This window comes from Homo sapiens, chromosome 16 (assembly GCF_000001405.40).
Source record: "Homo sapiens chromosome 16, GRCh38.p14 Primary Assembly".
Classification (NCBI taxonomy): Eukaryota; Metazoa; Chordata; class Mammalia; order Primates; family Hominidae; genus Homo; species Homo sapiens.
This window is the reverse complement of record NC_000016.10, coordinates 3792168-3818157: the sequence shown is the minus strand read 5'-3', so window position 1 is coordinate 3818157 and position 25990 is coordinate 3792168. Positions and strand designations below refer to the sequence as shown.

The 25990-nt window shown below is 43.5% G+C and overlaps 1 protein-coding gene across 10 annotated transcripts in view; it reads left to right on the top strand.

Annotated features, from left to right (window-relative positions):
- The window catches only part of CREBBP (CREB binding lysine acetyltransferase), a 155660-nt gene that overhangs the window by 62556 nt on the left and 67114 nt on the right, over positions 1-25990 (top strand). For 9 of the 10 annotated variants that reach the window (XM_047433625.1, XM_047433624.1, XM_005255124.5 and 6 more), the window contains exons 3-4: positions 7379-7555; positions 24532-24772. In XM_047433625.1, coding sequence (XP_047289581.1) covers positions 7379-7555; positions 24532-24772 — 418 coding nt within the window. Of the gene's footprint in view, positions 1-3702; positions 5221-7378; positions 7556-24531; positions 24773-25990 lie in introns of those variants that run through there. The other variant, XM_011522381.3, reaches the window with a different exon arrangement.

Sequence of the window (25990 nt, the reverse complement as noted above, 5' to 3'; positions counted from 1 at the left end):
CAGGTGCATACTCATAAGTGGTTATGGTCAACCCCTTCTTGTGAGTGTGCACTTCAAAATGACGTTTGGAGATGAAAACTGGGGGAGTTTGTTTGTCGGAGTGGTTGTTCTTATGAGTGGTTGATGTCTCTGGAAGTGGACTATTTGCAAAGGCTCCCATACATGGCTCAGGGTTGTGTGAGATGAGGAACCAGCTTGCCCTTCCCTGAAAATGAGGGGCATGGAGGAAGTTTCCTTCCTCCAAGGACAGGTATTCTTAATCTTTAGGAGATCTTAGAGTGACCCTCAGAAATGAACATCACACAAAATTGTGAACTGGTGCCCACCCAAATGCTCCCTCCCCTGCCCCCATGGACTGCCTGGCCCATTGCCTCCCCCCAGTGGAGTTTGGCCTGCAAAGAACGTGTTTCTCTGACCTTTTCGACAGAAGAGCCAGAAAATGGATGCTTGGCTTGCTACTATTGTAGAAACCTGTTCTGGGGAAATACTTCTATTTTGATGATTTCTTCTATAACCTTTCAGTCTAAACCCCTTTTCAATATCAGGAGTTTTTCTGATGATATTGAAGGACTTGACTTGACTTTTCTCTCTCCTTAAACCCTTAATTAGTTTTTGGATTTCCATTTACTAACTTTTTTACGAGACTAGATCTCACTTGAGAGAAGGGGGAGTTAGGTGAGTAGTAGAGAGATTCTCCTGGTTAGTGAGTGGAGAGAATCTTTCTGGTCTTTCTGAGCCTGGAGCTTGTTTTCTTACTAATGTTTTGATAGCTGTCATATCATTACAAGTAGAAAATGATAGTATTTGTCCCACACACTGAGGTAAACAGAGGAGGCTGTTGGCAGCCAGAAGTGACCATGGAGGCTGATGGGTCAGTAATTCTGTGTGCAAGTGGAAAGCTCTGGGTAAGGGCATGAGTGGGGCCTTGTACCAAAGTCAGGGTTTTCCTGGCCCAAAGATGTAGCACAGAGGACCCATTTTATAGCCAGACTGGACTTGTGTATCTGCTGTGATCACACACACCCGTTTCACCATTCTGAAAACCAACTCCGAAGGCCTGTTCTCGTTCTGCCCGACTTTTCAGCATGGGAAAGTAGCTGTCCACTCCTGTCCACTCCAACTGGTAGCTGAGATCCTTGTTTGGAAGTTTTGAAGATAGAAAGGGCACTGTTCCTGCTGCCTCTTCCGATGCCCCCTCCAGCCATTGCTGACCCTCTTTGTGCCTTGACTTTGGTCACTTGTTCGTGGTTCTTTGACCACCTCCTTCCTGGCTCTATTCCTAGGGGCTGCGTGGCATGGTGGTGCTTTGGCGTGTTCATTCATTTGGGTCCTTCCGCTGCATCCCTGGTATGTTGCAGGGGATGCAGAGAATGTTCCAGGAAGGTGAGAAGTTTTATCCTAGTTTTGTGACCAAAACAGGTTCAGGATAGATTATTACAAACATTTATGTGACAGATAATCCTCTAGAGCCGTGTGGTACTTTGTACTTTCCGTGGTACCCATGTCTGCTGGAGTAGATGGACAGTCACAGTCTGCCTTTTCCCTCCTCTTTGTTGATCATGGTCACTCACCTACTTGCCAGACAGTTCAGACCCGCAGCCACAGGATTTAATGGATGGGCTAGGCTCAGCACCAGGATTTGCTGCAGGTGCCTCTTTGTATTGTTCTTGGGTTTTGAGCTGAACTTAAAGAGGAATTTCCTCATCAGAGCTCACACTGCAGTCATGTTAAGGCTAATCCAGTTTCACCCCCATTCTTTCTTGGGGGCAGTGGTTGGAGTTGGGGAAACCTCAGGATCTGGCTTCAATATTTTTCTTATCATACACAGGGACTATGCATTACATATTTTTACTCTCTGAGTGAAGTGATAGAAAACAGAAGTAGGTTCTCAAACAGTTAATTGATTGATACGCTTGGTCACAATGCTTTTTAATGGGAAACCTGGGAGAGCTGTGAGGCATTGTTTAATTTAGTTTCATTATGGAAGCTCTTGTTCTTTTTTTGGGTACTTACTATAGTTAACTTTTCCTATTTTCTGAGATTAAACTTGAATTAAATGCTTAAAGGAGTTCTGTTAGGAAGAACAGAGTAAAAGAAACTTCTAATATGTATGGGCTGTTGTTGAATGAGGCAGAATATAAATACTTTATGGGTTTTAATTTGTTAATATATAAATTTTACTATTAACTGAACAGTTGCCTATTCTCTGTTCTGCTTTTTTAATTTTATTTAAAAGAGTGTATGGAATACAAAAAAAAAGAATGAATAAGACTTTGTATTTGCTAGCACAACAGGGTGACTATTCAAAAATAATTTAATTCTACATTTTTAAATAACTGAAAGACTGTAATTGGATTGTTTATAACACAAAGGATAAATGCTTGAGGTGACGGACACCCCATTTAACCTGGGTGTGATTATTACACAGTGCATGCCTGTAAAAAAAACTCATGTAACCCATAAATATATATACCTACTATGTACCTCCCAAAATTAAAAATGAAAAAACTTTTTAAAAGATTATATAGAGGTTCTCTAGCAGCATTAAACCAAATCCTGATGAACCTCCATTGAAAATAAAGCCAGCTTTACAAAAAAAAAAAAAAATTTTTTTTTTTTTTTTTTTTGAGATGGAGTCTCCCCTCTGTCATCCAGGCTGGAGTGCAGTGGCAAGATCTCAGCTCACTGCATTTTCTGCCTCCCGGGTTCAAGCAGTTTATTCTGGCTCATCGTGGGATTATACGCACGCACCACCATGCCTAGCTAATTTTTGTATTTTTAGTAGAGATGGAGTTTCACCATGTTGGCCAGGCTGGTCTCGAACTGCTGACCTTAAGTGATCCGCCTGCCTTAGCCTCCCAAAGTGCTGGAATTACAGGCATGAGCACCCAGCCTACCAAACTATTATCAAGTACCTGTTGGGACGTTTAAAGAAATGTAGATTTTCATTAATTAGCGTTAGACATCTTGATTTTAGTATTTCATTTTGGGCATTGGTCCTAAGAAGTATATGTTAGCCTAGGGTGGGGGACCACAGTGCTCAGTTTGATTAATGGAGAATAGATATATACTAGGAATTCAGAAATCTAGAATCTCTAGAAGCAAATGGTTTTTATTCATAACTGCAGGCTAGGACCAGTGCATGGCTCTTGAGTTCTGCCAGGAGGTGGTTTGGCACCAGGAGGTAGCCTTGCCTGGGCAATGAGCAGTGATACCCTGTGAGAGAGCTGACCTCTTTAGCCTGGTTATTAACTTTCTCTGATAAGGAGAGGCTGGGGCTGGCCCTGGTGCCAGAGATTTGAACCCTAACCTCCTGCATGTAGCCTGGGTTTTGTTTTTATCATAGGCTAAAGACGGGAATTTTTTCCCCTATTTTTGAGAATTGTGTAGATCCCTATGAGCTGGACGTTCCTTACATACCGTTCATGATCTTTGACTTGCCATCTTTTTTACCTTGTGAGAATCAAGGTAAAAACTTGTTGAGACTGTTTCCTTCACTCTCTTATCTGATGGCCAAGAAGAAAAGGTACAAACACGTTTTTGATGAAATCTGTCAGAGCGCTTCCAAACACTGGGTTACCCTTTGAAATTGACCAGTTATGGCCAGGCGTGGTGGCTTATACCTGTAATCCCAACACCTGGGGAGGCTTGAGGTGTATGGATCACTTGAGGCCAGGAGTTTGAGGCCAGCGTGGCCAACATGGTAAAACCCTGTCTCTACTAAAAAATACAAAAATTTGCTGGGTGTGGTGGTGCATGCCTGTGAACTCAACTACTTGGGAGGCTGAGACACGAGAATTGCTTGAATCTGGGAGGCGGAGGTTGCAGGGAGCTGAAATCATGCCACTGCATTCCAGCCTAGGCAACAGAACGAGACTCTGTCTCAAACACACACACACACACACACACACACACACACACACACACACACACACACACACAGAACGAGACTCTGTCTCAAACACACACACACACACACACACACACACACACTAAACAACATTGACCAGTTAGAAAAGGGCCCCAGGCCAGGCAAGTATTACCCATCTGATCACACACTCATACTCACCCTGGCAGGGCTATCTTAGGAAAATTGTCAAAATATCTGGGAAGTTTTGGAAATAAACTTTCTGAAGCAAGTCAGGTGAACTTTGAGGTCCACAGAGCACACTGGCCTCTTGGTACTTAGGTCCCCTCTTCTCTGGAGCCAGGGTGCCTGGGCATTTGGTGTGGAAGGAAGATGGTTACCTGTTCCCTTCCCCACCCCTTCAGCTGTCACCCACTTTGGTTTGTCAATGCTGGGCCTAATTAATTAGAAACTTCCAAAAGACGTTGATTTTTTGTTTGTTTGTTTGTCAAATTGGTTGACATAAGGTGTGAGCTCCGTGACAAGTGGGAAATGCATCTACGCAGCCTCAGAACTGGGCTTGGCTCATACCAGGCACTTGGTGAATACCAGTTGACTTCGAGGATGAATTGATCGAGGGAAAATGAGTGTGGGTGTTCTGTCATATTTTGTCCGAAGTCAGAAATTTAGGAACTGGGGGAAAAAAAACTATATTTTTTGTTGTTGTTCGTGTTGTTGTATTCAAATTCTAGGCTTCTAAGAACAATGTTTCAGCGGTTTGGTTATATGTAATAAGACAAATTCTGAGAGTAGTAAGTGTTCCATGGAATTAATTTAGTATAGTGGTTTCTGAAAATATAAATTCCTGCTTCAATTAAGTTTCAGATGACAGTTGAAGGAAGCTTCTTGCAAATCAGAAATGTGCTTAATATTTATCGAGCTACCATCTTGCCTAGATTAAGTCATTTGAACTCGAAATTGAGTCTGGTTTGTGGACTTGCAGAAGAATTAGTGTCTCAGTTCACTTAAGTAGAGCACCTAGTGGTGACAAGAATGTGATTGCTTTCCAAAAGGTGAGAAATGTCACCTAGGAGGACTACATGGGGAAGGAAATCACCTGCGTATGAAATGCACAGAGCTAGAACTTTCTGGTTATACTCCTTTGGTTTTTATTTGTGTTTCTGTACAGGCATTTCAGCAGAAAGGGCCAGTTGTGTTGAGTGTTGATTTGTTTGTAGCCTAGACTTTTAGAGCTGAAAGAAATAATACGATCCATCTTGTTCAAGACACTCATCTTACAGGCGAGGAGTTTGAAGTCCATAGAAGGAATGTTAAGTTACCCAGAGTGGACATGCTGGCGTGGCAGTCACCAGGTGAGGCTGATGGAGAGAACTGAGCTATGATTTCTTAACTGGAAACTCACCCCTGGGAGGTTTTCCCTATGCGGGGACCTTCCCAGTCCATCAAACTGACCACTACTCCAGAAATACAGAACACACAATAGACAGAAGGTGGAATATTAGAGCTTTGCAAAAAAGCAAAGACAGGCAGCCCAAGCATCCAGTTTCTTAATTAGTCGTTGTTTCTCCACAGGGAGAAAGATAAGCACTGGGATATTGCCATGGCAATTCCTGAATTGACCTGTGGAGGCTGGAGCTGGGGGTCATCAGGGAACTTGGCCCACATCTGTTGATGGAAGGAATTCCAGTTGGTTGCAGGCCCTCACGGAAGCATAGCTGAGGGTTCCTCTTTCCCATTCCTGCCTTTATCTAGTATATATTTGATTTCAGTGCACTTTAATTTTATAAAAAACTTTATTATGGAAAATTTTAGGCCGGGCGCAGTGGCTCACACCTGTAATCCCAGTACATTGGGAGGCCAAGGTGGGCGGATCACCTGAGGTCAGGAGTTCAAGACCAGCTTGGCCAACATGATGAAACTTTGTCTCTACTAAAAATACAAAAATTAGCTGGGTGTGATGGCACGAGCCCATAATCCCAGCTACTCAGGAGGCTGAGGCAGGAGAATTGCTTGAACCTGGGAGAGGGAGGTTTCAGTGAGCCGAGATCACGCCACTGCACTCCAGCCTGGGTGACAGAGTGACACACTCTCAAAAAATATAAATAAATACATAAATTTTACACCTGTACAGTGGTAGAGAGGATACTATAACCTCTCTGTACCCATCGCCTACTGCTTGGTTAGTGATTATCAGTACCTTACCAGGCTCTCTCCATCTATGCCCTTTTCCTGCCACCTCCTCCTGCCCAGTGGATTAGAGGTGACCCTTAAGCAACTCAGGGGTTAAGGGTGCTGACCCTGCCAGTCGAAAATCTGCTTGTAACCTTTTGACTCCATAAAAGTTTAACTACTACTAATCCCCTGCTGTTGATCAGAAGCCTTACCAATAGCATACACATTTGCTTAACACAAATTTCATGTTTTATGTGTTATATACTGTATCTTTACAGTGAAGTAAGCTAGAGAAAAGAAAACGTTATTAGGAAAACCGTAAGGGGCCGGGCACGGTGGCTCATGCCTGTAATCCGAGCACTTTGGGAGGCCAAGGTGGATGGATCACCTGAGGTCAGGAGTTTGAGAACAGCCTGGCCAGCATGATGAAACCGTGTCTCTACTAAAAATACAAAAAAATTAGCCGGACCTGGTGGCACGTGCCTGTAGTACCAGCTACTCAGGAGGCTGAGGCAAGAGAATCGCTTGAACCCAGGCGGTAGAGGTTGGCAGTGAGCCGAGACAGCTCCACTGCACTCCAGCCTAGGCGACAGAGCAAGATGCTGTCTCTATTAAAATAAATAAATAAAACCATAAGGAAAAGAAAATATATGTACCATTCATTAAGTGAAAGTGGGTCATCATCAAGGTCTTCATCCTCATTGTCTTCACGTTGAGGAGGATGAGGAGGTGCTGGTCTTGATCTCTTGGTTGGCAGAGGCTGAGGAGTTTGAAGAGGAGCAGGAGAGATTGAAAAATATTTCCATATATGTAGACCCATGCAGTTCAAACCCATGTTGGTCATGGGTCAGGTGTATTTTAAAGGAGATCCCAGGTGTTGTATCATTTCATTGCAATATTTCCACTGTGTGTTTTGAACTAATGGAAACTTAGTTCAAATCTGATGGGGAACCTAACAGAAACTAGATACCTATAGAGTAATTAAGGATTAAACTGAAAGAATTCCCCTTGGGTAGCAGCTTTGGAAGGTTTTGTTTTCCAAATGACTTTCTTCGGGTGTTGGTGCCATTGTTGGGGCAGGAGGGATTGAGTGAGGAGAGTGGCTGAGGGTGGGGGGAAACAGCTCGTCTACTTGCGGGATGGGGTTTAGGGTGAGGAGAGAGTGGCTGCTAGGAGCTGCTTCATGAGCCTTCTGCTTGGAGCATGTGAACCTGATAATGAACCTTGAATTTATCATTGCAATGAGTATTTCATAGGAAACTGTGTGAGCATTTCCCAGGCCCTTCCTTTTATATTGACTGCGTCACCACAGCTGATGTTACCTCTTTTTTGTTTCAGATGGGAATAACTGGGAACACAAGTCCATTTGGACAGCCCTTTAGTCAAGCTGGAGGGCAGCCAATGGGAGCCACTGGAGTGAACCCCCAGTTAGCCAGCAAACAGAGCATGGTCAACAGTTTGCCCACCTTCCCTACAGATATCAAGAATACTTCAGTCACCAACGTGCCAAATATGGTAAGTTACCCTTGGCCCTCAGTGTTATGGCTCTCCGGTGGGTGCTGTGGTCTGTGGATTTTTACCATTCTCACAGTGAAAGTCTATAACTAAAAGTGTGTCAGTAGGTGATAGGAAGAGAACCCAGATTTCTCATGAGTAGCTCTCTAAATGAGTTTAACATTTTCTGTGATGAGCTAGCAACAGGAGAGATAGGTGAGGATGATTCAGCCGCTCTTCCCAGGCTCCTTTTGTTGATGGAGAGAATTCACGTGCACGAATCACTTTACCTTTCTCTCCAGAATCATGAGAACCAGAGACACTGGCTTTTCTTACACTTCCTGTTTGTTAGTGGCTTGATGATGTCAGTAGAAGCCCATTGATTTGTATTACCGTCAGATGATGGACATTTATCTTCCAAAGACAATACTCTGTTGATGAGATGCATATTACGTCCAACACAATAGATGATTCCACGTGTCTTCATCCTCCCTGAGGTTTGAAGGGATTTTATAGATGGGAAATCTATAAAATGGGAATTATCCTTATCACTTCTCAACCTGATGAATCAAGATATTAATGGGAAAATATCTCCTTTTGCACCACCAAATAATAGAATCTCTTTTATTTCAAAACACTGAGGGGTAGTGCGTTCTTTTGTCCAGCCTCTCTTGTTCACCCCCAGTGCTGCATGTCTGGTGTGCTCTTGGTGGTGGGTGAGGACCACAAGCAGCCATCTCTCCCCACTGTGCTTGTTGCTGAGAGCCTGACCTTCCCAGCTGCCATAGTGATTTGGGAAGATCACAAGAAAGTGAGAGGATTATGTTCAGAAAAAGTTGCTTTTTGTCTTTCGGTTTTTTATGCTTTTTATTTTGAAGTATTTGTTGTAAAGATAGCACAGAGAATTCCTATATATCTTTCACCTCATCCAGCTTCCTCTGATGCATCTTACATAACCTTGGTCTTTTCTCAAAACTAAGTAATTAACATTGCTTACAGTGCTTAGAAGTTTTGAGGTTGCTGGGAAGCAGAGAGAGCCAGATCTCTTTATTTACTTGTTTGATAAAATCAGGAAATGGGAATAATGAGGTGTCCTGTCAGGTGCTGGCTCCCTGCTGTATGGTACCTCCATTTAAAAAGGTGGTTGAGGCCGGGCGTGGTGGCTCACACCTGTAATGCCAGCACTTTGGGAGGCTGAGGCGGGTGGATCACTAGGTCAGGAGTTCGAGGCCAGGCTGGCCAAGATGATGAAACCCCGTCTCTGCTAAAAATACAAAAATTAGCCGGGCATGGTGGCGGGCACCTGTAATTCCAGCTACTCAGGAGGCTGAGGCAAGAGAATCGCTTGAACCTGGGAGGTGGAGGTTGCAGTGAGCGGAGATCGCGCCACTGCACTCTAGCCTGGGTGGCAGAGCAAGACTCTGTCTCAAAAAAAAAAAAGGTGGTTGGGTATGTACAAGTAACAAAACTTGCTCTCAAAACTGTGAAAACAACCTAAAGTTCTTAGGACTTCTTTATTTCTTCTGATAATCCCCTTGTAACTTTCCTTGATATGCTTCTTTCTTTCCAATAACTTTTTGTTGCCAGGATTGTCCTGTTCCTGATAGTGCAGGTCCAGAACCTGAAACAGAGCCCAGAGGACCCTAGGTCAGCCCCTCAAGTTCAGGGAACGGTACTGACCTGCATAATGCTGGGCTCTGGCACCACACAGATCCCGTTCTCTCCTGTGCTTCCTTTTCCAGTCCTCACCGAAAGGACAGTAGTGTGGACTCTGGGGTTAGCTGTCATCGATTATGCCTGCTCAGTAACCAGGAGCACATTTTGGCTTCATAGTGAAAGCATTTGCTTTTTCCAAGACTTCTTGTGTTTTACAGTCAGGGAAACCCTGACCTAACATTTTGCTCCCTTTTCTCTTTTAAAATATTCTCCAGCCCCACTTCCCCATCCCCTCTCCTTTATCTACAACTTAGTGACAGAATCTGTGCTCCGGGCCCCTCTGCTGCCTCCACTGCTGCTCCAGAGGGCTGAACTTGGCAGATGTGGTATGCTTGTCAAGGGCAGTTTCTGCCCGGGACTGCAAAGAGGCTGCTCATTCCCTTCACCTGCAGCAGGGCTGGAGCCGTTTGGTCTGGGGCAGGCTCCCCTCTGCCTCTGCACTGATGGCAGTTCTCTGCTGTGAGCCGGTTGTGCCCCAGAGGATGTTGGGCAGCATCCCTGGCCCTACCCACTGGGTGCTTACAGCCTTCTCCTCTAAGCCATGATAATCAAAAATGGCTCAAGGCACCAACATATGTTCTCCAGGGCATAGTCGCCCCTAGTTAAAAACTCCTGCTCTGGAGAACTGGAGAGTAATTAGGAGAAGCAGTAGCAACAGCATCTCATCCTTTTGCTTGTCTTCCAGACATCTGACAAAAGTAGAACCACTTCTTTTCCTCTCTGCCTCTCTCTCTCCCCCGCTGCCCCCCCCTTCTTTCATCCCTCCCTCTCCCCTTCTCTCCCCACCCCCTCTCTTTCTCTCTCCCTCTCTTCCTGTTTCTTGGTCTGTCTCTGATCTTCTCAGGGTAAACTGAGAAAGCATTTTTGTCCATGGGAACTGCATTGGTTGCCTGGTGGCCACTGTCTCACAAGAACCCCTGTGGACTTTGAGACAGATCCACAAATGCCTGTTGGGGGTAAACTGAATGACACCACTGACCCTGGAGGGCACAGATCAGATGGGGCTGTGCCCACGTGTGCCTTTGTGAGGCAGCCTGACCCAGGAACAGCCTTCAGTGCTCCACATAGTGGTAGGAACCAGAGGGGCTGGTGGGAAAGTGGGGTACCAGCACACATGGTCTCCCCAACATCTTTCTAGGTAATTTTTAACATATTCCTGCAATAGCCTCTTGAGAGACATCATTCCAGGTCCCATTTTACAGCTGAGCAAGTTGAGACTCTGAGGAGTTTGGGTTGTTCAAAGCTATGTAGCTTCCTGTTTGCAAAGCCTGAAACTCTTCAGTTATGTTCTGAGGTCATGTTTTTGCAGCCCTGAGCCTGCCGGGAATGCTTCACCAGCCCGTGCTTACACAGTTTGTCTGCAGTTCCTCAGATGTGTTTTGTAGTCTTTTTGAATTTTGAAAATTATATCTGGCCTCAAAACCCACAGACTTTTGCATACTGAGGGCAAACACTTACAAAGAAATCTAGGTCTATTTACTGAAAAAATGAGGTGTCAAACATATTTGCATTTATTGTCATGCTTTAGGGGGTACCCAACTAAATTTGGTGTCCCAAACAATCCCAGTCAGGACTCCAGTGCCAAATCACCTGGTGCCCTCTGCAGCTCTTTCCTGGAGTGATTTAGCCACGTGGTCTTGGGCCAGGGAGCTCTTGTTCCTCTCCCCTCCTAGTTTCTATAGGAGTCCAACACTGGGTAGCATTGAGGAAGGGAAGGATATGATCATTCAATTAATTTGTCACATGTGTTGAAAGCCTTTTGTGGGCTCAGGTGCTGGAGTCGGCTCCCCAGAAGGCAACTGGGAGTGACACAGAGCTCACTCCACTTTTGTGAAATGGAAGGTGTAGTGGCCACGGAAAACAAATCGTTACAAACTGCTCCAAGAGGTCTGCGTAGCACTCAGCGGTTCAGATTGTCATAGGGACCTCTTTAGATGGAGCCATCAGAGAAGGCCACATTGAGGAAGGAGATTTAAAGGCAAGATTGGAAAGTTGAGAAGAAGCCACAGAGACCCCAGGGTATTGGGACAGCACTGGCTTGCGTAGGAACTGGTAGAAGTCCAGAAAGGCCACCATGAGGGAAGGGAGCAGGGCGTGAGTGGAAGTTGGGGGTTGAGCAGGAACCATTTCAGGGGGCCTTGGAGGGAAGATGGGCCATCGGCTTACAGGGTGGGGTGTGATGCAGGAAGTTGAAGCCACTTTAGCTGAGTGAGGAGGAGAAGTTCAAGGGCGATCCTTCTGGAAGTGGAACCCACCTGATTCTTGGTGACGTCTTGCTTAAGCTTTGGATTGGGCTTTCTGACATTTTCACAAAATGCCGTGTAGAAGTGGGATACGTCTTAGACTGAGAACATTCAGTGACCAGAGGGGCCTCATCTTCAGGTTCTCCCACGTGGTCTCCTGCAAGAGTTATTTCTAATGTGGAGTTCGTAGGTGTGATTTTTTTTTTTTTTTAAGAACTGCGTTATGGAGACTTCACCATTAAAGTTGAGATGCAGGAGATTCATCAGTAGTGCTGCTTATTTAAAATTGCTCATGAGTGATGTTACGATTTGTTGTGACTGAGTTTCAGAATTTTGGAGTGGAGGTTGTGGACAGGGCCCACGGCAGCTGCTGATCTACGTCTCTGAATGGAAGGGTGGTGTGGCTGGAAGACTGTGTAGACGGGAGGATGGGAGAGTGGTCTTCTGTGTCCTGCCAGAATATCACAGCTGCGGCAGTGACACTGGTAGCACCTGAGCGGCAAGCCATGTGCTAGGATGCCCTCCAGGGCCCCCTGTGTCCAGGGGTTCATTCCATTGCTGTGTCTCAGCACCTGTCCATGGCCCCACCTGCATCCGAGTGACTGGCAGTTCCTGGGCCTCACCCAGTCCTCCCGATTCACAATCTCTTAGGACGAAGGTGCAGAATCTGTGTCTTGTAGTCACTCTTAACTTGTGAAACTTCAGCTTTTTTCTTTCTCAATTTCCCAATTCCACCTAATTCCCTCTAATTATAACTCAGATAATTCTTAAATACATGGGCTTGCGGTTCTTTGTGTTCTGCTGGAACTCGTGGTTTTACATGAGCTGGTCTAGTGATTCTGATGTGGAATAAAGATCATGAAAGCCACTGTCCACTGACACCATGAGCCATTGGCATTGTGACCAGCTGTCCCACTGTGGAGTGGACTTACTTTGTTGGTCTTCATGTCCACTTTAGTACTTCAGAAGGCTTCACTAATCTTCCCCCACTCCCCAACCTTGTTTGTCATATTTTCATAATTTTCTGTCCCCTGTCTAGATTGTGATCATTGAGGGAGCAAGACTTAAACTGGCTGCATAGGGTTAAGCTTCGTGAACGCCAGGATCTCTCTCTGTTGTCGTCTTTGATGAGCTCCTCTTAGTTTTGGTTTCCTTGCACAAATGCCTGTGTTCCCTAACATTATACACAAGCTCCTTTCACTGCACAAGTAGAAATTGTAAAATCACTGCTTGTCTAATACCTCCCTCTATCCTAGGACTAAAGAGAGTCCTTACAGAGTTCTGTGGAGACGGCAGGTGAATAGTCATGTCATCTCTTTACCATAACAGTGTCTATAGAAAAATTACACTATGATTATGAATTGTGTCTCACTAATTGAACTGGAAAACGTGGGGAAGGTTTGGAAGTAAGCCCTTGTCTATAATTATTAGTGATTTAAGTGTTTGTGTATTCTTAAGAGTTTACATCTATTGACTCCATCTGTATCTTGAAGATCACTGAGAAAACATGTATGCAGGGCCTTCAAATGCCGCTAAGTATAAATCTTCTATTCAAACTTATCCCCGTTGGTTTTGGCAATAAGTATCAGCTGGGAAACATAATTTAAGCACAAAATAATGATACGTGATGTGTTGCAAATGAGAAGAAACTATAAATTGAGAGAAAGTAGCGAGTCCTTTGGTATTAGGGGTAGCCCCACATATTACAAGGCCTCAGTCAAGGTCATTTAACTTACTTTCCAGTATGGGTTTCCCATTAACCAGCAGTATCTTTTCTAGAGTCTGATTAGTATAATCCTTTCTTCAGCAAAACCTCCTAGGTGGAAGCATAAATCATCTCAAAGATACTCATGTAAAGTGGAGGCCTAGCCAGAAGGTTTTTTTTGTTTTGTTTTTTGTCTACACAAGATGTGCTGCATACTTACTAACAGCCAGCATTGCAGCCTCTGCCTGCCTGCTGGAAGTGTATAATGAGGATAGCAGGCATTTCTGAGAAATGAAGTGACTTTTAGAAGAACCGAGTAAATACACCGCAGTAGTCCTGCAAGAAGCAACAACTCAGTAAACAGCACAGGTCATGGGTCTGGGTGAGGTCAGTCGTAGCTAGCAGTAATGCGAATATAATACTTCACTTCCTCTGGAGCGGTGTGAGCTACATCAGTCTCTGCACAGCCCAAATCACCCTAACTTCCTTTTACCTTTTCCACAACCCTTTGAGATGGCCCTGAGGTTCACGTCACCAAAAAGACAGTCTGTCCAGTAACTAATTTGCCAAGTTATCAAAAAATTGTGTAAATTTTTGTTTATGTTCCTTTTTTTCCCTCTAATCCTTAGAACCTGTAAATGTCGTAAGTATTCTTGAAGAATACATATGTATATATCAACAGTATTCAAGAAGAGTATTCTAAAAACTTTAAGTTTTTAGTAAATTGGTAATTCTCTTGAACTTGGTCATTCGACTCCTGGTCTGGTCCAGCAGTCACTTTGACCGTAGGAATAGATCTGGTGCCTTCTATCTTCTATCTTGCAGGTTGTCTTTTTTGTTGTTTCTTTGGTTGGTTGGTCGGGTGATTTTTTTTTTTTAAGCTGGGGTCTCACTGTCACCCCATTTGGAGTGCAGTGGTGTAGTCTTCAGCTCACTGCATCCTCTTCCTCCCAGGCTCAAGCGATCCTCCCACTTCAGCCCCCGAGTAGCTTGGACCACAGGCACGTGCCACCATGCACAGCAAATTTTTTGTATTTTTTTTGGTAGAGACAGGTTTCGCCATGTTGCTGAGGCTGGTCTCAAACTCCTGAGCTCAGGAGATCCACCCACCTGGGCCTCCCAAAGTGCTAGCATCACAGGTGTGAGCCACCTCTCCCGGCCACCTTATAGGTTTTCTTTGTGCTGTAACAAGTAACTCCCACCCCTTCTAGGTAGAATGCTGGGTTCTGAAGGCTGTGGCTGTGGGTCCAGGAAGAGAGTGGGGAGGGAGTGGCAAGTCCCTCGCCCTTGGCCACATTTCTTACCCTGAGCCTTGGCCTTGGGCTCAGGCTTTCCTGCTCCCCTTAGCCATTTGCTTTCTACTTTAAATCACAGCTTTAAGATTACTTATAAATCATTCTGGATTATTTCCCTATTGAATTTAGATGTTTTGTTTTTTTTGTTGTTGTTGTTGTTGAGAGAGAGTCTCGATCTGTCGCCCAGGCTAGAGTGCAGTGGCGCGATCTTGGCTCACTGCCACCTCTGCCTCCCAGGTTCAAGCTATTCTCCTGCCTCAGCCTTCCGAGTAGTTGGGATTACAGGCGCCCGCCACCGCACCTGGCTAATTTTTGTATTTTTAGTGGAGACAGGGTTTCGGCATGTTGGCCAGGCTGGTCTTGAACTCCTGACCTCGTGATCCACCCCCCCCCCCCCCCTCCCCGCCGTCAGCCTCCCAAAGTGCTGGGATTACAGGCGTGAGCCACCTTGCCCGGCCTGAATTTAGATCTTAAATTTTAAGATAATCTTATTTTTTTAAAAAAAATCAATAAACACAAAGCAAAAAGAAGAAAACACAAGAAACATTTCCTCTATGAAAATAGCTATGTTGTGTTTCTTACCAGTTTATCACCTCTGAGGTGATTATCGCTTCTTCCCAGGTTGGCAGCTGTGTACATTTAATGAGCATTTTCTTTGTTTTATGGCGCCACAGCTTTGCATACCCAGCTGTTGTAGGTCCTTATGAGGGAACCTGAGCAAGTGGTTATTGCAGAGCCAGCCCTTGTTCTGCCTGATGTTCGCTTTGGTATCGTTTTCTGATTCTAGGTGGAGGTTGTGGAGGAGTCAGGTTTCCAGGTGGGTGGGGGAGTATCCGAGGAGCATAGGTTTGGACCCTGTTGCGATGTGGAAGGTTGAGGACGAGCAGCAAGAATCCCAGCCTGGTGTGGATCCGGGGCATTGGCTGCACAGAGGGGTGACACTGTCCTTCCTTGTTCTTTCTTGGTCAGTCTCTTGCTGTTTGGAACACAGGGTCCTTTGAAGACATGATAACCTACTCTTGGACACACAGTAAAAAATGACTTATTTTTTTGTGAGGAATGTGAGGATAAGCGTTATTATCCACATTCTGTATGCACATCTCTGTTATGTCCTTAGCATAGAATACAGGCACTATAGGAAAAATGGCATTGGGGCTAAATTACCCAAAACCTATGTAGCAATAACAGTCCTAATAAAAATGCATGTTAGATTCTTTTAAAATTTAAGGAATAGGCTGGGCGCGGTGGCTCACTCCTGTAATCCCAGCACTTTGGGAGGCCAAGGCGGGTGGATCACTTGAAGTCAGGAGTTTGAGACCAGTCTGGCTAACACGGTAAAGCCCCGTCTCTACTAAAAATACAAAAATTAGTCAGGTGTGGTGGCACACGTCTGTAAGTCCAGCTACTTGGGAGGGTGAGACAGGAGAATTGCTTGAATCTGGGAGGCAGAGGTTGCAGTGAGCCGAGATCATGCTATTGCACTCCAGCCTGGGTGACAGAGCGAGACTCTGTCACAAAAAAAAAAAAAAAAAAAAAAAAAAAAAAAAAAATTAAGGAATACCAGAGTAAATATAAAGAGTTTGCTTTTAAAGGTAGTTTGACAGTGGAGTATACACAGTGGTTGAGGCTGCCAATTATGTAATAAGCAACACATGCAAAGAGCCTGTGGCTAAACCGAGTGAAGATGATGGGTGGGGTGAGTGGGCTCAGTGAGCTTTGTGTTAACCTCCCTTTACTCAGTGGCTCAAAATAGTAACAGGCAGGGGAGACTAAGGTTTAAACCAGTATGGCTCTCACACCATACTCACCTCCTCCTTCCACATTACAAATTGCATGTGAAATGATCCTCGCTCCAGAAACACATATTGCATATATTTTAAGGCTTCTGACAGATACCATTATAGTGCTTTCCATCAAAAGCCATGTACCCGATTACCAGCATCACACCATCTTCCCAAGGCTAGGGACTGTTACCCCGTTCTTCTGTTTTTTTTTAGACAGAATGTTGCTCTTGTTGCACAAGCTGGAGTGCAGTGGCGCAATCTCTGCTCACTGACGCCTCCACTTCCTGGGTTCAAGCGATTCTTTTGCCTCAGCCTCCCGAGTAGCTGGGATTACAGGTGTGCGCCACCACACCCAGCTAATTTTTTATATTTTTAGTAGAAATGGGGTTTCACCATGTTAGTTAGGCTGGTCTCAAACTGCTGACCTCAAGTGATCTGCCCACCTCGGCCTCCCAAAGGGCTGGATTACAGGTGTGAGCTGCTGCACCCAGCCCACCCTGTCCTTTAATAGGAGAAAATGATGTCATCTTACTTTGATGAGCATTTCTCTCATGAGTAAGATTTAAAGTGCTTATGTTTAGAGACATAGGCATTTATTTGAGTTGCTTTGGTCCTGTTGTTCACCAGTTTTCCTGTCAGATTCTCTTAGAACACTTTATAATGCAAGGTGGTCAGCCCTCTGTGGAGGAGGGGCACAGAGAGCTGCAGGATTGGGGCTTTGCTGCTAGTTGGTTGGCTCATCACCCAGGCAAGGCCCTTTCCTTGGGGCCTCAGTTACTTCACCTGTCGTGTGTGGCTAGTCCCCAGAGTACTCTTCCCTCGGGGATGTGTGTGTCTTCAATGAACTGCTGTACCTTGGACCCTGAACACAGAGCCTGGCACAGAGTGAGGAATAAAGATGGACTGGGAGGAGAAAAAATAATAGCTCCATCATGATTTGTTTTGTCTTGTGTCTTTCAGATTTAATTTTTCCTAGTTCATAAATGGCCCTTACACTTGTTCCTAGTGATTTTAGTCATAGAAAGAATGCCAGTCTTTATGTAATCTAGCCTCTCACACCTATTTAATTGTACAGTCTTCTCCTGCATTGGAGTCGCCCATGGGGCTTTTGTTCTTTTTTCTCTTTTCTCAATGTTTTTGATTTTGTTTTTGTCTTTTTTTAGCAACAGGGTCTTGCTATGTTGCCCAGGCTGGGGTACAGTGGCAATTCACAAGCACAGTCGTGGGAGACTATAGCATTGATCTCCTGGGCTCCAGCAGTTCTCCCACCTTTGCCTCCTGAGTAGCTGGGACTACAGGTGTACCACCACTCCTGGCTTCTTAAATGTCTTTATTCTCATTGTAAAGGCACATATATGTTAATTTTGGAAAAATTGGGAAAAGTCTAAATTAAAAAAACAAAGCAGGCTCGTCTCTTAGGGGAAAAATGAGAGGATCTGTATTTTAAGAATTTTTACTGGAAGGCCGGGTGCAATGGCTCATAGCTATAATCCCAGCACTTTGGGAGGCCAAGGCGAGATAATTGCTTCTGCCCAGGAGTTCAAGACCAGCTCGAACAACATGGCAAGACTCTGTCTCTACAAAAAATTTTAAAACTTAGCTGGGCGTCGTGATGCACACTTGTCATCTCAGCTACTCAGGAAGCTGAGGTGAGAGGATCGCTTGAGCCCAGGAGGGTGAGACTGTGTGAGCCATGATTGCACTACTTCACTTCAGCCTGGGTAGCAGTGAGACCCTGTCTCCAAAAATAAAAAGAATTTTTACTGGTAATAGTGAGGAACACTGCTTTATGTTCTGTGACTAAAGCCTTTACTGCCTTTACGTAACAAAGTACCCACCTTAATTACCTTCCCATACTTTTACAATTTAATTTTTTATATTTAGTTCCTCATCATTTTCTTACTGATTCGTCTGATTTTGTTTTCTCGGGAATTTCCCCCCAAAATGGAATGCTTTTTGGTATTAAAATAGTAGTCACTTAAACAGCTTTTTGTTAAAGCATAAAGGTCTGCCTTATTGTTGTTAGTAATTCGTTGCCTTAAATAACAGTCATTGGATGTTTTCTCCCACAAATTCAGACAGGGCTTGGCTGGCCCATTCCCCTGCTCCACATGGCTTTGACAGGGGTTATTTGAGGTCTGCCTTATTTTTCATGGGTGCCTCTTGTTTCATTATAAGTCTGTAGCCATAGGATGTTTAATTAGTCCACCTTTAATAGACATTTAGAATTTTTTCCAGTTTTCAATATTTAATCAGAATGTGATGCATTATCTTTGCACACATATTTTAACATACTTGTCCAATTACTTCCTTAACAATGAATCATGAGAAGTGGAGTTACTGTCAAAAGAAATGCATGTTTTTCTTTTTGATACATGTTGCTTTCCAAAATTACACCGAATTGCCAGAGTACTTGAGAATTGCCATTTCTTTATATCCTCATCAATACCAATTAGCATTTTTTAAATCTTGGCCATATAGATAGATTAAACATGCCTCATTGTTTTATTTCTATTCCTTTAGTGATTAGTAAGAACTTTTTAAAAACAGCTTTTTAAGATATAATTCATGTACCATATAGTCCTTGCTTCAAGTGTACAGTTGAGTGGTATTTAGTATATTGTGTAACCATCACCACAGTCAATTCTGAAACATTTTCACCACTCCAAAGAGAAACCTAGTACCATTAGCAGTTATTCCCCATTTCCCCTGAACCCCCATCTCCAGCCAACCGCTAGTCTTTCTACCCCCATGGATGTATCTATTCTGGGCATTTCCTAGAAATTGAATCACAGAATATGTGGTCTTTTGTGACTGGCTTCTTTTACGAAGCATGTTTTCGGAGTTCATGTTGTAGTATGTGTGGTTACTTCCCTTTTTACGGTTGAATAATATTCCGTTTTGGTTATACACCGTGTTTTGTTTTTCCCTTCATCACTTGATGGGCATTTGAATTGTATCCACTTTTTGGCTATTTGTAAAAGGCTGTTGTGAACATTTTTTACAGTTTTCGTGTGAACGTGCATTTTCAGTTCTTTTGGTTGTATACCTAAAATAGGAATTGCAGAGGTCATGTGGTAATTTTATGTTTGACCTTTTGAGGAATTGCCAGACTGTTTTCCAGAGTGGCTGCTGCCTTCTACATTCCCACACCAATGTATGAGGATTCCAGGTTCTCCACGTCCTGGCCACCCTGTTGCTATTGGTTAGCATTTGACTTTTTATTATAGCCATGTGGTGGGTGTGAAGTGGTATCTCACTGTGGTCTTAACTTGCATTTCCCTAATGGCTAATAAGGTTCAACATCTTTTCATGTGCTTATTGGCCATTCGTGTATCTTCTTTGCATAAATAACTGTTCAGAGCTTTCACTTATTTTTTAATTGGGCTATTAGTCTTTTTATTACTGAGTTGTAAGAGTTTTTAAAATATGTTCTAGATGCAAGTGCTTTATCAGACCTATGATTTGCAAATATTTTCTCTTTCACTTTCCACTTTCACAGTTCATTATTTTGTAATGGTATCCTTTGAAGCATAAAAGTTTAATTTTTTATGAAATCAGTTTATTTTTCTTTTATCACTTGCACTTTTGGTGACGTAGTAAGAAACTGCCTAATCCAAGGTCGTGAAGATTTATTCTCGGTTTTCTTCTGTGAATGGTACGATTGTCACTCTTACGTTGAAGTGTTTGCTCCACCTTGAGTTCATTTTTGAGTGGGAGGTAGAGAGGAGGCTGCCTGCATCCTTCTGCCTGGGCTGTCCAGTGCCTGTGCTCCTCCTCATTGTCATTGAGAAACGATCCCTCCCTCCCTTGTGTTGCCTCAGCACCAAGGTGTAGAACATTTTTGTATTTGTCGTTTCTTTGTGTTTTGTGAGGTGTCTGCATTTTCTTTGCCCAATTTTTTAGTGGGATAGTATCCTTTCTTTCCTGAGAGCATTTGCATAAAAGATCAACCAATTTGCTCGCAGTTTTTCACTTTTTAAACTCCATTATGTGTTTATGTTAAGAAGGCTTTCTCATCCTCATGTCCTAAAAGTTTTTAAATTTTTTTCTCCATTTTAAGCCATTTTTATTCACTTTAGTTCATGTGAATTTTTTTTTTTTTAAATAAAAGGGAAGATAAGGATCAAAGATGCCTCACCACTCTTGAATGTAAAGCACCACCTTTAGGAGACAATCGTCCTCTCTTATCTGGGGTTTCACTTTCTGGGGTTTCACTTACCAGCAATCACAAAATAAGTGAGTGCAGTACAATAAGGTGTTTAGAGAGAGAGAGAGAGAGACCACATTCATGTAGCTTTTATTACAGTGTATTGTTAGTAATGGTTCTATTTCATTATTAGTTAATGTTAATCTCTTACTATACCTAATTTATAAATTAAACTTTATCATAGGTGTGTGTATAGGAAATAATACAGTATATATAGGATTCAGTACTATCTGAAGTTTCAGGCATCCACTGGGAGTTGGAACCTGAACTCTGAGGATAAGGGGGGACTTCTATATGCTAATTTGATATACACCTATGTCTGTTTCTGGACTTAAGTAAAGAAATTAGCTTTATAGTATGTTTCAGTATCTGGCAATATAGATTGCCCCTTTATTTTTACTGTTTTTCAAAATTTTCTTGGCTCTTAGAAAAACAAAATCACACAAAACGTAGATTACTTTTGGGGCAGCTTCCACCACGATGGCTTTGTTCTGTGCTTTAAAGGGAGGTTCCGAAGTACTCTCCCTCCATCCTCAGTGCCTGCCTGCCAGTGGGAACTGGGCAGGGAGGTTGGGAAAGTCTGAAGGATGCTTCTGACAGATTTGGGGGCCACCTGCAGTTCACATCTAACTCTCATGGCTCATTGAACACCAGCCTGGGAGAGGAGGAAATTAAGTGTGCCCCTGTATTTGTAAGTACTTTGCAAAACTAAGCTAGTCCCAGACAAATATACAGAATTCCATGGGGAAAGACAGAGACAGGGACATAAGACATTTTCCATTCCACTGTTGATTCACCCTCAGAATGGCTTTTGAGATGCATGTTGTAAACAATATGTAGAGCTCATTAAACTGTGCATTTGTCCTCCATCCAGAGGTAGACAAATAACAGAACAAATTTTAAATTTGCCATATAGTTTCCAACCATCCTGTTTTGACATATGGTCAGGTGTAGTGCAAAAGACACTATTAAAAATACATGCCAGGCTGGGCGTGGTGGCTCATGCCTGTAATCTCAGCACTTTGGGAGGCTGAGGTGTGCCGGTCTCTTTAGGTCAGGAGTTCAAGACCAGCTTGGCCAACATGGTGAAACCCCATCTCTACTAAAAATACAAAAAGTAGCCAGGCGTGGTGGTGGGCATCTGTAATCCCAGCTACTTGGGAGGCTGAGGCAGGAGAATCGCTTGAACCCAGGAGGCAGAGGTTGCAGTAAGCTGAGGTGGCGCCACTGCACTCCAGCTTAGGCGATAGAGTGAGACTCCCGTCTCAAAAAAAAAAAAAAAAGTACAAGCCAGTTAGGTGGCACCACACATCTGTGATCCCAGCTACATGGGAGGCTGAGGTGGGAAGATCAGTTGAGCCCAGGAGGCCAGCCTGGGCAACATAGCAAGACCTTGTCTCTGAAATTTTAAAAAAAGAATATTTTTAAGTCCCAAATGAAATCAGTGTGTTAATTGTTGGTGAATTAAGAACAGTCTGGTTATAATTTACTTGTAGAGCTAAATTTTTTGCCTAATTTTTATATAATTTTTTTGGTATGTGATATTTCTGTACTTTAAGACACAGTGAGAGGACAACTGTGTGGTCTCTTCAACAAGGTAGTGTCAGGAGTAAAAAAAGGGAAGATACAATAGATTAAGAACCTTAAAAACAACCAAATACAGGATGTGGGCCTTCTTGGGGTCCTGATTTGTGAACACCAGCTCTAAAAGACATGTTTTGGACAACCAGAGAAATTGGGATATGACTCAGTATTAGCTGATGCCCAAGAAGGATGGTTCTTTTTCTTAGGTGTAAGGATGATATCCTTTCCTTTCCATTTTTCTGTATGTTTGAAATTTTCATAAACGTAAAAGAAAGAGTCCTAAATGAGGCTCATTTTGTGTTTCTCCCATTCCTCCATATCTCCATTCCTGTTGATTTCTCGATGGACCTTCCAATCCACAGGGATAAGCCAGTTGAGCAGTGGACTTAACACCAGTACTGCATGCTTGCAGGGGCAGCTCAAGGCCTGTTTGCTTACTGAAGCTTTATTTACAGTTATAAAAAATAAAGGAGGGGCCAGGGATTCCAGTTTATGCCCCATAACAAGAACTAGTTAAATGAGTATAAAGTTAAAAGAGTAACATGCTGTTCATTACAAGTCATTCCAGCCCACTATCTGAGACAGTTTAGTGGTATGGGGCAGAACATGGAAAAAACACTAAGCAAAACATGTGTGTTGCAGGGGAGATACGAGGCTCTATTGATTATGGTTCATACGTAAACATTTATATAGAAAAAAGAAGGGAAAAAAACCTATCAACGCTTTAGTAGTGGACTCCTGGATAATGGGATTTTAATTGTTGTTAATTATTTCTGTAGTAGTTCTCTAGCTTTCCAAATTTCCTGCAGTGTATATATATACTTTTATAATCAGGAAAAAATAAACATAAGAGGCTATTTTCTCTTAGGAGTTGAGCCCTGCATTCATGGTGTTCTGCTTCTCAGCTAGGATGCTGATTTTGCTTTGGGTCCTTCTCAGAATTGCTTTGGGTCCTTCTCAGACTTCCAAGAGTTTTGCTCCCAAGCCCAGCCACCCAGCTTTTCTACGTACTTATTTTCTAGTTCTCATAAAGGTAAAATCAAAACAGAAAACTCTATAAACTTTTAAAAGTGAGCTTTGATTCATTAAAAATTATTTGTATAGTTTTCTCTCCTCTTTGTGAATATACAGTTTTGATTCATACATTTTTAAAAAATCCGAGTGGCGTACTTTAGGGGAGGTAATGAGGGTCGTGGAAGCAAGCTGGAAATATCAGAGTACTAGAGAAAATTGGAAATCCCGGAACTGTGGATGATACTGTTGCACATTAGGAACACTTCTCTTACTGCCTAAGTCTTTTTCAGTAAGTTTATCTGAAGAATGCTTATAGTTTGTAAAGAAGAAGACTCTATGGGTCCCCTTTTCCATTTGCCTTGCTGTTAAAAGGTTTGTTTGGTCTGGCTTGTTATTTCAGGCAACTGAAAGCAAACCCTTTCTGTATTTTTAGCAGATCACCAAATCTTTAAAAATTGTCAGCTGTCTGAGTGGAAATTGTAATGAAAAACAAAGCATAGGACAAGAATGCATTTCCCATTGCACTGGGTGGTTGTATTAAGGCTAACTGTCATTATTCTTTTAGGAGAGGTAATGGTTGCTGTGAAATCAAGCTGCACGCATTGTCCTTCTAGTCATGTGATAATGAAATCCAAAAGGTGGCTCTGATTCTTTTTGCTACATCAAATGTTTGTAGTACATTGCAATTGGTCAGGCCTTGGCAAATCTTTTTTTTTTTTTTTTTTTTTTTTTTTTTTTTTTGAGACGGAGTCTCGATCTGTCGCCCAGGCTGGAGTGCGGTGGCGCCATCTCAGCTCACTGCAAGCTCCGCCTCCCGGGTTCACACCATTCTCCTGCCTCAGCCTCCCGAGTAGGTGGGACTACAGGCACCCGCCACCACGCCTATAGTCCTAATTTTTTCTGTTTTTTAGTAGAGATGAGGTCTCATCGTGTTAGCCAGGGTGGTCCCGATCTCCTGACCTCGTGATCCGCCTGCCTCGGCCTCCCAGAGTGCTGAGATTACAGGCGTGAGCCAACGCGCTCGGCCAGGCCTTGGCAATCTTTTTAATTAGGTTGTACCCTATGAAATTGCCAGTGTTTGGCCATTTGGGACCTACAGAAACAGCAGTTTCATATGGTCCAGCTGGTATAGTACACAGCTTTTCCTGTAGTTGTGTATATTGTAGAGTGAGTTGGATTTTGGTTGCTACAGTGAAGAGCCAGCCATTGTCTTGCTTGGATGATAATTGTATACAAGTGAACTTGAATCAGCCTTGCTGCTGAGTTGGGTTGATTTCTGTGCTGCTGGATCTTCTTAAAGTCATCAGTGGGTTAGAGAACTACACCAGCCTTCTCTCTGTGGTCGGTATTATCCATCAGCTTTTGCTTTTGTTTGAGAAATAATTAATGAATATGACTTGGAACTCTGAGAGGTTAAAGTATTTTTATTATTTTGCTTTATTTTAGTCTCAGATGCAAACATCAGTGGGAATTGTACCCACACAAGCAATTGCAACAGGCCCCACTGCAGATCCTGAAAAACGCAAACTGATACAGCAGCAGCTGGTTCTACTGCTTCATGCTCATAAGTGTCAGAGACGAGAGCAAGCAAACGGAGAGGTTCGGGCCTGCTCGCTCCCGCATTGTCGAACCATGAAAAACGTTTTGAATCACATGACGCATTGTCAGGCTGGGAAAGCCTGCCAAGGTAAGTGCTGTTTTTGGAACTCCTAGTGGTAGAGGTCAGGAAGAATTTGCCTTTATTGTTCTTACAGCAGCTCTCTGGTTCATAAGGCTCCGGCAGCCTGAGTGCTGCCTTCCATTGGGTGTGGCAAGACATGTTGCGCTCACGTTCCCCACGCGACGACAGTCAGGTGCTCCAGGAAGTCTTATCTGCTGAAGAGAAAGGCGATTTGGTTTTCTGATACTCTGTGAACTTCTGCTGCTTGAAGCTGTGCCCCGTATTTGTTCTTTTCCTCCTTCCTCTGTCACGGAAGACATTGGTCACTTCTTGAGCACTGTCTTTGTTGTGAATGTCTAGATTGTGGTTTTCTTTTGGGGCAATGAACATAGCACAGGCACGTGCAGGCACACGCCCTTCCTGCATCCCAACATCTGTCTTGGTGGCCTGCGGCCTTGCTCCTCTGTCCTGTGTCTTGAGGCAAGTGCGGATGACAGCGAAGTTGTCCTGGGTGACTGGCAGTGACATGGGGAACTATGCACTGTATCATCCCAGGGGGGGTGGTGAACTAGGCACTTCACGTGCCCTCTGTCTCCCCTTTTACCGCAGACACCTCATTTCTACCGAAGGAAGTGTTTCTTATTAACAGCTGTACTTTCCTTTAATCTTTATTCTCTTTCCTTCTCTGCTTATGCTCATAAACTTAGGGGAATCTCCCCCTGGTCTCCCCGTCTCCCGTTGTGACATTTGTGAGTCCCCAGAGTAACCCTGTTGTAACAGAGAAGCAGAGAAGGGTAAGGTTAGACCTTTAGAAGATGAAGACGGAATAACCAGGGTCAGTTAGCCTCTCGAGTACTTCTTCACCAAGTGCCCAGAGTCCCTTTCAGAATCTCTACAGACTTCTCATTTGCTTCTCTATCTGTATTTCTTCACTGTAGTATTTAGGTGGTTTCATCTTGAAACATAATTGAACATTTTTATTTTAAATAGTGACATCACAGAACTATTATTTGTTCTACCTTTCATTGCAGTTGTTCGCTATTCCAGGTTGAATAGTTTTTGTTTTGTTTTGTGGGCTGCCCTTTATCACCCATCCTTCATAACATTGCTTCTAGGGGAAGTTTTGTTTGGATTTCTCAACAGTCAACTTACAAACTTTTTGGAAAACAGCCTGTTTGTAAGTTGAGGACTGCCTATACTGTGTTATGGTTACACTTGTTACCATTTTCTTATGGAATCTGGCAT